Below are 13998 nucleotides of genomic sequence, written 5' to 3'. Positions count from 1 at the left end.
TATTTCAAGGGAAGGAATATATTTTGAGAAATGGCAGAGCAATGGACTGACAGGTGCTTGTAGATCCAGCAGTGACAGCAGCAAGGAGCAAATATGGGAAATGAGGCAGAATGTGGGAGAACTCAGTTATAGTGCCCAGAGAGAGCATTCATGTATTTATCTATTACAAAGTTTAGTTTCAGTCATGAACTGTGTTGTGTTTAGGTGATCTGAGTTCAAATAATTGGTAGTTTTTACCTTAAGAAATTAACCCTCCGGCCAGGTGCAGTAGCTCACGCCTCTAATCCCAGCACTTTGAGAGGCCAAGGCGGGCGGATCACCTGAGGTCAGGAGTTCGAGACCAGCCAGGCCAACATGGTGAAACCCCGTCTCTACTAAAAATACAAAAATTAGCCGGGCATGGTGTCAGCCACCTGTAATCCCAGCTACCCGGGAGGCTGAGGTGGGAGAATCGCTTGAACCTGGGAGGCGGAGGTTGCAGTGAGCAGAGATTGCACCATTGCACTCCAGCCTGGGTGACAGAGTGAGAGTCCATCTCAAAAGAAAAAAAAAAAAAGGAAAAAGAAAAATATTAACCCCCAGAGAAGGAAACATAGAAAGCAGCGACTGCTGCACATTTTGATGGGGGATTATGAGAGATATGCATATGTCACTATAAAGAAATACAGAAAATAAATATGAATTGGATTATGGAGGTCAATAACTACTTAGAGGTGGTTATGCTTGAGTGAAGTTTTGAAATCTGAGTAGTGGGTAGACAAATAATAAGAAATCATAAATTTTCAGGAAATACATGTAAAAGCAAAGGGCATGAAACAATGTATTTTATTGGAACAACAAGTACTTTGGTAGAATTTTTAACAGAGTTAAAATGTACCTTCAAATCTGTTAGAAACTATTGAAAGTTTTATAACCTGGGATATTATTTAATTAGATTTTTATTTTAGAAAGATGATGATGACCATGATAATAAAAATCAACATTAAAATAGTGCTCAGTATATGCCAGACAACTGTTGTAAGTGTTTAACACATATTTTCTAATTAACCATCACAACAACCCTAAGACTTCCCTGGCAGCAGTGTGAAGAATGGATTGGGGACCAAGGGACTTGAAGTTTTTGCAGTAATCCAGAAAAGACAGGATGATCCTGTAAAAACAGAAAAGGAATGTGATTGAGGAACTTTTAGCCAGTGGAATCTATAGGACACAATGGGTGGTATGAGGATTAAAAAAAAAAAAGTAGTGAAGATGACTTCCATGTGCTTGGCATGGTTGCTAGAATGGATGGAGTTAATATTCACCAAGATAAGGCATGAAGATGGCAGAGCAAGATTGGGGGGCACATAAAATTGCAGGACAGTGATGGCCATTCATAAAACAGATATTTCTGTTATGCCAGGCACCATACAAGGAACTGGGTCAACAAAGTTGTGTCTGGTGCAAAAACCCATGCTGTCAGTAAATTCAAATTCATTCCAGAGAGAAAGCAGAAAAAGAATTTATACCCCAAAAGCTCAGGTAATCGAAGCCAGAATAGACAAATGGGATTACATCAAACTAAAAAACTTCTGCACAGAAAAAGTAACAATCAAAAGAATAAAGAGACAGCATATGTAATGAGAGAAAATATTTGCAAACCATATATCTGATAATGGGTTAACATTCACAGCATGTGAAGAACTTTAAAAACTCAATCATAAAATAACAAATAACCCAATTAGAAATGGGCAAAGAATCTGAATAGACATTTCCCAAGACATATAAATGGACAGTAGGTAGCTGAAAAAATGCTCAACCCCACTATTCATCAGAAAATGCATATTAAAACCACAATGAGATATCGCCTCACACCTGTTAGAATGGCTATTATCAAAACGACAAAAGATGTAAAGTGTTAGGGAGGATTTGGAGAAAAGGGAACCCCTACACACTGTTGACAGTTGTAAATTAGTACAGCCATTATGGAACTCAGTAAGGGGTTCCTCAAAAAACTGAAAATATAACTACCATATGATCTTGTAATTCCACTACTTGATGTATATCGATATAAAGTCAGAATGTCAAAGAGATAGCTGCACTCCCATGTTTATGTAGCATTATTCACAATAGTCAAGGTGTGGAATCAACCTAAGTAAGTGTCTATTAACGGACAAATGTATTAGGTTGGTGCAAAAGTTATTGCAGTTTTTGCCATTGAAAGTAATGGCAAAAAAAAATACACAATTACTTTTGCACCAACCTAATATAAGAAAATGTGGTATACATACACAATAAAATATTATTCAGCCATATATAGAAAGAAGTCCTGTTTGCAACAAGATGGATGAACCTGGATGATATTATGCTAAGTGAAATAAGCCAGGAACAGAAAGACAAACACCATGTGATCTCACACATATGTGGAATCTAAAAAAAGTCAAACTCATAAAAGCAGAGAGTAGAATGTTGGTTACCAGAGGCTGAAATTGGTTGAGCAGTTGAGGGGAGAGTTTTGAAAATGTTTATCAAAGGGTACAAAATTTCAGTTAGATAGGAGAAATAATTTTAAAAGCTCTACTGCATATCTTGGTGACTATAGTTAATAATAATGTATTATATACTTGAAAATTGCTAACAGTAGATTGTAAGTGTTCTCACCACAAACAAATAAGTACATGAGCTAAAGGTATATGTTAATTAACTTTAGCCATTCTACAATACATATGTGTATCAAAATATCATGTTTTTTTTGTATTTTTTTAATTTTTTTATTTTATTATTATTATACTTTAAGTTTTAGGGTACATGTGCACAACGTGCAGGTTTGTTACATATGTATACATGTGCCATGTTGGTGTGCTGCACCCATTAACTCGTCATTTAGCATTAGGTATATCTCCTAATGCTATCCCTCCCCCTCCCCCCACCCCACAACAGTCCCCAGTGTATGATGTTCCCCTTTCTGTGTCCATGTGTTCTCATTGTTCAATTCCCACCTATGAGTGAGAACATGCGGTGTTTGGTTTTTTGTCCTTGCGATAGTTTGCTGAGAATGATGGTTTCCAGTTTCATCCATGTCCCTACAAAGGACATGAACTCATTATTTTTATGGCTGCATAGTATTCCATGGTGTATATGTGCCACATTTTCTTAATCTAGTCTATCGTTGTTGGACATTTAGGTTGGTTCCAAGTCTTTGCTATTGTGAATAGTGCTGCTATAAACATACGTGGGCATGTGTCTTTATAGCAGCATGATTTATAATCCTCTGGGTATATACCCAGTAATGGGATGGCTAGGTCAAATGGTATTTCCAGTTATAGATCCCTGAGGAATCGCCACACTGACTTCCACAATGGTTGAACTAGTTTACAGTCCCACCAACAGTGTAAAAGTGTTCCTATTTCTCCACATCTTCTCCCGCACCTGTTGTTTCCTGACTTTTTAATGATCGCCATTCTAACTGGTGTGAGATGGTATCTCATTGTGGTTTTGATTTGCATTTCTCTGATGGCCAGTGATGAGCATTTTTTCATGTGTTTTCTGGCTGCATAAATGTCTTCTTTTGAGAAGTGTCTGTTCATATCCTTTGCCCACTTTTTGATGGGGTTGTTTGTTTTTTTCTTGTAAATTTGTTTGAGTTCATTGTAGATTCTGGATATTAGCCCTTTGTCTGACAAAAACAAGAAATGGGGAAAGGATTCCCTATTTAATAAATGGTGCTGGGAAAACTGGCTAGCCATATGTAGAAAGCTGAAACTGGATCCCTTCCTTACACCTTATACAAAAATTTATTCCAGATGGATAAAAGACTTACATGTTAGACCTAAAACCATAAAAACCCTAGAAGAAAACCTAGGCAGTACCATTCAGGGCATAGGCATGGGCAAGGCCTTCATGTCTAAACACCAAAGGCAATGGCAACAAAAGCCAAAATTGACAAATGGGATCTAATTAAACTAAAGAGCTTCTGCACAGCAAAAGAAAATACCATCAGAGTGAACAGGCAACCTACAGGATGGGAGAAAATATCATGTTTTACACCATAAATATATATAATTTTGTCAATTGAAAAGCATTTTTAAAACAGCATTTATACAGGCCTTCTTTGCTTGTCTCCAACTCATCCAGTTCTTGCTTCAGGGGTTTTGTACACATTGTTTCTTCTGTCCTAAAGGATATCCCCTTTACCTGAAGACTTTTAATTACCCTTCAGGTTACATGCAGGTTAACTCTCAGTTTCTCTGGGAAACCAACCCTATGCCATTCGATCTAAATTAGGTTTATCTTAGTATTCTCTCCTCTATCGCCTGCATGCACTTTTTCTTCAGAGAATCAACTTAAACTGGTAAGGTATTTTCCCTCATTTTTCTGTTTACTGGGACTATCTTGAACCAGGCAATAAGGCCTATGAGGGCAGAGACCACATTTATTTTGTTCATCACATTTATTTGTTTTAAAACAAGCAAATAGTTGGTTAGCTTCAGAGTGTACAAAAGGCATATAGAAAATGGAGAATAACAAAATTAGAAATGATAATACTGAAGAGGTAGGTGGAAACTAGATGATAGATTCATGACAATGAAGGACCCTTGGCATTATCTTGTAGGGCAAAGGGAGTCACTGGAGGGTTTTCCATGAGTTTTCTGGTCATTCTAGGAATCTAGCCTTCTATTAATATTAACTCAAGCCCTTTGCTTGGAATTACTTGAGATATTTCAGCAAGTAGGCAATGCTAGTAGCTTCCTTGAAGAGAGCAAATTAGTATGGTGTCTCAGGAACAAATGTGGGGGCTAAGACACACTAGTATGTGAAGGACATACATGTGCATCAGGAAGAGAACCATAAAGTGGTTCCACCTCAAACAAAGGAAGAACAAAACAACCCCAAGTAAAGGCCAAGATATTTCAATATGTAGGTTAAGGAAATGAATTGGGGACAAAAAGGACCACCAAGATTTGTAGCAGAATGTGTGGGACCAAAGTTTTCTGTTGTCTTTAGGAAAAGAAAAGTACGGATAGATGGATTTCCTGCTGTTTTCCTTTTTTTTTTCTTTTTTCTTTCTTTTTTTTTTTTTGGATACATCTTTTCTTTCCTGATGTATCCAAGCTCTCTACTTCAAGACACAGCTCTCATCAGTTTAGATGCATCTTTGCTCTCATATTAGTTTTTAAATTAGCAATATTTAAAGCAGTAAAATATAATTAAATTTGTTATGGAACTGTGTGCTCTGTTCCCATATCTGATTAGTCTTGTTAAAGTATCATGGAGAGTAGAAAGCCAGACTGTCTTAACTTCTGTGAGCCTCATTCTTCTCATATGTAAAATGTTCTTATGTTACAGTGGAGCTGGACAATTAAATGAAAAAAAATGTATAAAACACACGTTCTGCCTGGCATGTACTAGGCATTAGTAGTTTAAAAAATAGCTCTTTAACTAAGAGGATAGAAAGTTTGGCCGATTGTTCTTCGTAGGGCTGATTTGAATTCCTTATTTCTCAGACTATAAATCATTGGATTGAACAATGGGGTAAGGATGGTGTATGACACAGATATTAGGGTGTCTTGGCTTGAAGTGTAATTAGTCTTGGGCCTTAAGTAGATGAAAGAGGCACAACTGTAGTGAACAGTTACCACAATGAGATGGGAGGCACAGGTGGAGAAGGTCTTGTATCTTCCAACGGAGGAAGGGATTTTTAGAATGGCAGAGATGATGCGGATGTAGGAGACTAGGATAAGTAGCAGAGGAATGACCAAGGCAAATACACCAAGCATGAATATGACCAGCTGACTGAAGCCGGAGTGCTGAGATGCCAGTTTAAGGACAGGGGAGATGTCACAGAAGAAGTGATGGAGCTGGTTGGAGGAGTGGAAGGGCAGATGAAATACTAGGGAGGTGGTGACCAGGGAGACAGTGAAGCCACAGGCACAGGCAGCAGCCATTAGTCCCATACACACCCCATGTCCCATGAGCACTGAGTAGCGCAGTGGGTTACAGATGGCCATATAGCGATCATAGCCCATGGCTGCCAGCAGGAAGGAGTGAGAGGAGCCAAAGAAGAGGAAGGAAAACATTTGGATGGCACAGCCCAGGAAAGAAATGGTCTTCTTCTGGGACAGCAGGTCAACCAGCATCTTGGGTACAATGACAAAGGTATAGCAAATCTCAGAGCAAGAAAGGATGGCAAGGAAGAAGTACATGGGAGTATGAAGGGCTCTGTCCAGCACAATGGTGGAAATGATGATTGCATTGGTGCCCAGAGTGAACAGGTAGAGGAGCAGGAAGATAACAAAGAGCAGCTGCTGCAGCCTGGCCAGGGATGAGAAGCCGAGGACGACGAACTCTCTCACCACAGTCTTATTGACTTGCTCCATGGAGAGCACTTCTATAAAGGAGAGTCAGGGACAGAGGTAGAAACCAGGATCCAGAAAGGAGAGTGGAAATGTACGGGAAATTTCACACAAAGTTTGCAGGTGGCAGGCATTTCCAGATATTTGATGGAATTCTTCATTCCCCCATTAAAATGCCTGCTAAAAGAAGAATTAGGCAAAATATGCAAAAGAATAACTGATAGCCAGTTTGGAGGCCTTCTCTAATGTGAAGAACAGGTTATCTCTCTGACCAAGGATTAGGAAATTTGCTAATAGTTTTCCTTCTTATGTAACAGAGAGATTGTTGTTTTTGTCACTTACTATAAACCCAAGGCAACTCACTCTCCAAAGTGGAAAACGTTAACTTCAGCTACCTGAAGCTGATCAGAATATAGAACGAAAGAATGAATAATATTCAGACATAATCATGTGGACTTCAGTTTATCCAACCATGAAATGAGAAAGGAGATAAAGTATTCCATGGTCTCTAAGTAAAGATGTGAGCACACATCTATTTACTGGGAACTTTTTATATCTCCAAGGGAACAATAAGAAATACTATTGGAAGTTCCACAAGTTGAAACATTGAGTCAACAGTGAAACAAAAAATAACATTAGCCAGATGTGGTGGCTCACACCTGTAATCCCAGCACTTTGAGAAGCCAAGGTGGGTGGATTGCTTGAGGCCAGGGGTTCAAGACCAGCCTCGGCAACATGGCAAAACCTGGTCTTTACTAAAAGTACAAAAATTAGCCAGGTATGGCAGCACACACCTGTAATCCCAGCTACTCGGGAGGCTGAGGCATGAGATTCACTTGAGCCCGGGAGGCGGAGGTTGCAGTGAGCCAAGATTGTGCCTCTGCACTCCAGACTGGGTGACACAGTGAGAATCTGTCTCAAAAATAAATAAATAAAATAAAATAAAAATAAATAACATTAGTGCATTAGTATAAAGAAAAAAATTCTTCTTTCAGGAAGAGAATAGTCACCAGGGTGGTAAAGAGAGATGACTGACTTTGTGGCATTTTGTAACACACTTCACTTTTCCATGCTGAGCTAACTTGGAGAAACTCAGAGAAATAAGAGTTTTGTAGAAATGACAGAGCTTGCTACAGAGTGTGAGAGAGAATGGCACACTTGGGAATTTTGCCAGTTTCCCCTCTCCTGCTGTAAACCATAGGCTTTGTATCTTTTGTATGTTGTTATGTTAATAAGATTTCTTTTGAACATTCTGCCACTAAAAATATTTTGCAAACTGCCATTACAAATTATTTCTAAAATCATCTTAGGCCTAATTTTTTTCACTGGAACATTTTTCAATAACCCAACCTAATAAGTAAAAAAAGCACTATCTGGATACAAAATCATCCAGTATGTCTTGCTGGTATCCAGTCTTCATTTATATACTTCTGAAGTTACTACATCATTTTGTCTTGGGAAATTATTGGCATCTGCTACCAGAATTTTGTTGCTGTTACTTTTCCATTTTTCTATTCAATAGCAACTTTTTTTGTTTCCTGAATCCTAAGTTAATTCATCAGGCATTCTTGAAATTCATTATATCTATTCATAGAATTTGGAGATGATTTTTTTTCTTTCTTACTTACTAGAAACTGGTCCTAAACTTAGTTAATATAATTACTTATTTTAATAACGTTAGTATAACTATAAAGATATTACTATTGTACATAAACATAGAAAAAGTAAACACAATGTATACCTCCATTGATATTTGTGTATGAGTGTGTGTGTATTAGTTATATGTTTTTATATACAGAAAGGTAAAAGTTTCCCTACATAATACCTCCTTCTGGACAAATGATTTCCTGTCTATTCAAAACAATGAGGAAATCTAAACTTATGGTCATTGCTTAGCCTTGCCTCATTGCTTTCCCAAAAGACTTTCATTTGAATCTTCTTTCAACTAATCAACCTTTAACCGCCACTAGGCCCTCACTTGACTGAATATGATGAATAATGTAAACCATGGAAGCTGGAATTCTCTGATTCTGAAGGAGTACCTGTATCTAACTGATACCAAAGAGAATTGTTTGGATTATTTTTTGCTCAGGCACATGAGGACAGCTGATTCTAGTCCAGTGGATTTTTACATAGTATTAATATAAATCCATAGCCTAAATGAATCATGTGATCGATATAATTGCCTTTTTATGATCTATGGATTCAGCTCCATGGTGCATCTGAGAAGGCAGCCCCCATCTGCTCAAGATGCCATTAGGGACCACCATAGTGTGTTGTCATCTGTACTGATAGAAAGACTTAAGACCAGGAAAATAAAAATTCTCATCCTACAAAATACGTTCAAGCTGTAAAATGAAGATGAAAGATCTTTAGGGTGATGTGAAAAGATTTAGGTTTCAGGTCTAGTCTTCTGTGACTTTAGATGAAGTATATACCTTCAATATTTAGTTTTTTTTTTAATTAAAGGGATAGCATAAACAGTAATGGAATAAACTGTTGGGATATGTGGAAGGCACTGAAGCAGAGGATCCCTGAACATTTTACAGAGGAATTTTGACTAAGATAGTATCGGAGTACTATGACCCCTAGGAGCCTTTCTTGCTCAGAGAATCAAAGACTCTCTAGTTAGATGATCTCAAAATCCCCTTAATTGTGATATTTTAGAACGTATGAATAGAATTCAGGCTATGATCCTTGGAGATGCTACTTCAGTGTTTTATTTTTCTAATTCCTCAGATGCTCCACTGGGATTTTATGTAATCTGGATTTAAATAGAAACAAAGTACTTGAGGGTGCTGGGTTCCCCCAAAAGAAGGCAATCTACAGAGTTTTCACGTGTAAAACTTTTAAGAAATATAAATATTTATTTTAAGGAAAACATCAATCAGTTAGCTGAGAGAAATTATGTAAGCAGCTTCAGATAATAAAGGAGTGAAATTTTAACTTCTTAGATACAAATAAAAATCTTTAATTTCTCCAGATTGCCATATTAAAATGGAGTTTAAGTACTAGATTTCAATTATACCTAAAATTATACATCCAGGAGTACACAGCAGAAACAGAAGTAGAAGAGTGAGAGATGAGAGACAAGTGGAGTATCTGTTTCATTTAATCCATGAATCCACCAATGAACAAAAAAGAGAAGTAGAGGAGGAAGGAAGGAAGGAAAGAAGGAAGGGAGGAAGGAAGTAAGGAAGAAAGGAAGGAAGGAAGGAAAAGAAAAAAGAAAATAAAATCTAGCTATGAGTAAGAATGACCCAATATGATCTTCAAGAACAATTCAGATAATTTTTTTTTTTTTTTCAGAAGGAGTCTCACTCTGTTTCCCAGGCTGGAATGCAATGGCACGGTCTCGGCTCACTGCAACTTCTGCCTCCCAGGTTCAAGAAATTCTCCTGCCTCAGCCTCCCAGGTAGCTGGGATTACAGGTGCACGCAACCATGCCTGGCTAATTTTTTTATTTTTAGTAGAGACGGGGTTTCATCATGTTGGCCAGGTTGGTCTCAAACTCCTGACCTCAGGTGATTCACCCATCTTGTCCTCTCAAAGTGTTGGGATTGCAGGGGTGAGCCACTACACCCAGCCAAATTCTGAGAATTATAAAGGCCATTCCCAGTCACTCTTAGTAAGTTCAGTGAAAGGTAGCCTCTGATTCTCCTTTTTAACTCTGCTACTTACCAGAAATGCCATCACTGATCTCCATGGGAGGCACAGAAAGAGGCTTTCTCAAACACTACCCATCATTCAAGTCCAGTCCCCACAAATCCCCAAGCTAGGTCAATGTTCCCACTGCTCGGTAAGTACTTACATTGCTCTCTCCCTTCTAATTTAGAGAGAAGCAGCTATTCAGTATTTGGCAGTCTCCTGACAAGTAGCACCACTGCCACAAATCAGAGCCTGAGGAAATAACAGCAAATGAGAGGGAAGCTGCCTTGAGATAGAAACTCTCATCTGAATCAACAGAGCTAGCCTCCTCCATCTATCAGGACTCCCAGCTTCTCCAGATAAGTCACCATCTTCAGAAGTTCTGATGACCAACGTGGGATGTGGTTATTAGAAGCATGTACTGTAAACACTGGACTCCTGAGGTTAGATCTACTGCACTGGAGCTGTTGTCTTGGGGTTAATTAGGAGTCAAGTTCATTTTGGAAAAAATAATGTCACCAGTTTCTCAAAGGTGGCCTCAGTTGAGGAGCCTGGGGAGTTGAAGTCATGAGCATAATTAGCCCATGTATGCTTTGAAAGTTGAGTCCATTTGAAAGTTGTGATGGATTCTGAAGGAGAGCCCACCACAATTAAGACTGTAATGCAACAGACCAAGTGGAAAATTTTTACTGAATTTTAATCAGAAGACTGATGTATTTGTCCAATGACACTCAACTTCAGTGTTTCTAAGAATCAAAAGAGGGTTGAATGATGTTTTCCAGGGCGCTGCCCCTAGAAACTCTAATTAAGAACATTGAGATGTTTTGCAAAAACCTAAAATTTTAGTAAGTATACTAAATCTAGTTGAGCTCTGTCATCAAACAGTGTGTTATCTTATTAATGCATTTTACCAGAATGACAAAATAATATAGAGTTGTGAATTTTGTTCAAGCTAATCTATAAAGCCAATATAATTCCAACCCAAATCCATGCATAAATTTTGAAGTCACCCTGACAATCAGATTTCCAAAATTTTCATGAAATTATAAAACAATTTTGTAAAGGGCAAGTAATATAGGCCCTCACTCTTCCTAGTAAAAAAAAACTATGCTTTAGTAATAAAAAAGAGCATGCTATTGGTGCAAGAAGAAATAAGTAGTATAGAGACAGAAAGGAGAGCTCAGAAATTAATGTATGTGTATTTGAGAACTTGGTCTTTGGCAGAAGTGACCTCACAAGTCAGTGAGAGAATTATAATTATGTACTAAATAATACTGGGAAGCCTCTGTGTATTCCACCGCTCAGAAGGAGGTGACCTGGTGGAATATGAAACGGTTTACTTGAGGCTCAGTTACTGCACTGGCTCTGTGCCAATACCTAGTACAGCCCCATGTGTCTGCCCAAAGCAGAATATACTCTGAACCAGCAGCCAAAGGATTGTGTTCATTCTCTACTAACAAGAATGTATAAGTCTGAGAACCGACGTTTAAGGGGAGATGAAATGAATCCTTCTGTTATTACTCCTAATGACTTATATGCATAAGTTTGAGCTTTGTGGATTAGAAGTGTTATTTCACAAAGGAGTGTTACTTCCACCAGAAAACACAAAAATGGTGATTGAGATGGCCCCTTGGCCACTTCAGTCTACTTTGTCCTTCTGTACCAGTAATCTACAGACAGAAATGAATCCTGTTTTTTAACGAAAAATAGGGTGTTGCCGCTACACTACCAAGGCAGAAAATAGTATGTCTAGAATCTAGATGTTCTAGGGCATTTTTTATTACTTCATATATAAAGGCAAAATTTAATAGAAGACTAAAACAACCTAATTTAGGCAGTCACTAATAGTTCAAGCCCTTCAGAAATGTTGGGGTATTAGGTGAGTTCAAAAGAATATAAACAGGTGACATTTTAAAAAGTCATAAGCATCAGTGATAGTCATGTTTACTTACAGAAACAAGGATTGCAGTAGCTGTTTTATTTTACTGCTTGCTTTATTATGTATATATGTGTATGTTGATCATTTTCCCATCTTGTCTTAACCTACCAGTATATATAAGGTGTGTTGATGTTACAAAACATTATAATTCCATCTACAAAGAAAAGGCTATCAAATAATTTATTGTTTCATTTTTAGAGATAAATGTGGGTACCTCTTTATGTGAGATGTATTTTCGTTATATTCGTTATTACTGTTTGGAAATTTAAACATCAACAGAAGGATGTGTATGGATGGTGAATATCTAAAAGGGAAACCTGTGCTGACTATATTTTACTGATATTTAGTATCATACTTACACTTCTAAGTTCTCTGTACCACAATGTAGGAATAAAAATTCTGGAAATCCTGATGTCTGTTTTCCATATCACCTTGCCAAAAGGGTTTTACAAAAAAGGAGCATTCATGAAATATGTGGATGCAGAAGGGGGAAGCCAGTTGTTTGGGGCAGGGTGATATGCCAGCACTTATCAGATGATAGATGTGGACTTTAGCCCTTCACGTTCAGATTTTCTGAGAATCATCCATCAGTACTGAAGCAGCCAAGATCATCTGTGAGGGCTTCCTGTGATCCTTGCAATTCGGAAAATCAAGAGCAGCTTTCCTGACATTTATTCTCCTAATCTTCCAATACATACATAAGCCTCTATTTTCTCTATCAAACCTATTATTTTAAATTCATAGACTCTCAAAAAGTAACAATATGTAAACCTACCTCAATCTTTGCAATAGATGCTAGAGTTGTGATTTTTCTTGTCCATAGTTGGAATAACTTTATAAATGCCATTTTATTAATTTTTATAAATTTCTCAGAGTTTGGATAAATGAAATAGTTTTTTGAAAAATTGTGCATTACCCACAAAATGAAATTGCTGATTGAAAATCTATTCTTATTTCAAATTTTAATATGCATTGTGTTGGCATATAATCTCCACAAAGGTTATAAAACTTATACTTTCATTAACAATATGTGAAGATGCCAATTTCTCCATAATGTATATGATGTTACTTTTAATCTTTTAAATTCTAGCCAAGATGAAATATAAAAATCATACCGTGCTCCCATTTACATTTCTTTGATTAATAGTAGAGGTAAGCACTTTAAAAAAAATTATCAGACACTGTTATCCAACTTTTGAAAATTATCTATTTATTTTCCTATTACATTTTTTCTTTATAGATTTGAGAGACTACTTGGTTCAATAATTGTGTTTGACCTTTGAATTAAAAGTGTTCCACCTTGTCTTTTATTTTTATTAGAAAACTTTTAATACTAACAATTAACCTTATAGAGGATTAACTTACATCATATAAAATGTTCCCAACTTAAATGTACAGTTTGGTACATTTAAGCAATACTAAGCAACAACACCCCAATCAAATTACAAAGAATTTCTACAATGCCAGAAATCTCCCCCTCCAGCCCTGTGGTCAATTCTACCCAGATTTGGTCCCAGAAACACTCCAATCAAATTACAGAGCATTCCTACAATGCCAGAACTCTCCCCCTCCCCACTTGTGGTCAGTTCTACTCAGTCTTGGTCCCAGAAAAACAGTAATCTGTTTTCTGTTAATATGGTTTGGCCTTTTCCAGAATTTCATGTAAATTGAATCATACAGTATGATAACTTTTGTGTCTAGTTTCTTTCTCTTAGCATATTTCTGAGATTCACTCATGTTGTGTCATTTGTCAGTTCATTCTTTTTATTGCTTAATAGTATTCCATTTTATGAATACACTGCAATTTATTCAGTGAAGGATAAATCGAACTGTTGAAAGATACTTGGATTCTTTCTCGTTGGAGGCTAATAGGAATAAAACTGTTATGAACATAAGTTTCCCAGTCATTGTATAGACATATATGTTCATTTATCTTTGGTACATACCTAGGAGTGGAGTGACTCTGCCACATCATAGGTATAAATTTAGCTATTTATAAACCTCCAAGCTGTTTTTCAAAGAAGTTGTATCATAATTCAATCCTACCAACAATGTTGTAAAAATTCCAGTGGTTTCTTA

At 37.2% G+C, this 13998-nt stretch overlaps 1 protein-coding gene and 1 long non-coding RNA gene across 2 annotated transcripts; one reads left to right on the top strand and one right to left on the bottom strand.

Moving 5' to 3' along the window:
- Positions 1-4459: 4459 nt before the first annotated feature.
- Positions 4460-10084, bottom strand: OR10K1 (olfactory receptor family 10 subfamily K member 1). The gene is made up of 2 exons (NM_001004473.2): positions 10014-10084; positions 4460-6512 (listed from the first exon to the last, which is right to left on the bottom strand). Exon 2 carries the CDS (start codon positions 6354-6356, stop codon positions 5415-5417), a length of 942 nt encoding a protein of 313 aa, NP_001004473.1. The 5' UTR covers positions 6357-6512; positions 10014-10084; the 3' UTR covers positions 4460-5414.
- On the top strand, positions 9147-12331 carry LOC107985212 (uncharacterized). Its single transcript, XR_001738256.3, has 2 exons — positions 9147-9747; positions 10168-12331. It is a non-coding gene; the product is annotated as an uncharacterized LOC107985212 (long non-coding RNA).
- Positions 12332-13998: the final 1667 nt, after the last annotated feature.

This window comes from Homo sapiens, chromosome 1 (genome assembly GCF_000001405.40).
Source record: "Homo sapiens chromosome 1, GRCh38.p14 Primary Assembly".
NCBI lineage: Eukaryota > Metazoa > Chordata > Mammalia > Primates > Hominidae > Homo > Homo sapiens.
The sequence above is the reverse complement of the archived record's forward strand: the minus strand, read 5'-3'. Positions and strand labels throughout refer to the sequence as shown.

What these genes read in the sequence shown, in the direction of transcription:
- OR10K1 (NM_001004473.2), bottom strand. Translation starts at nt 6,356, where the DNA reads ATGGAGCAAGTCAATAAGACTGTGGTGAGAGAGTTCGTCGTCCTCGGC.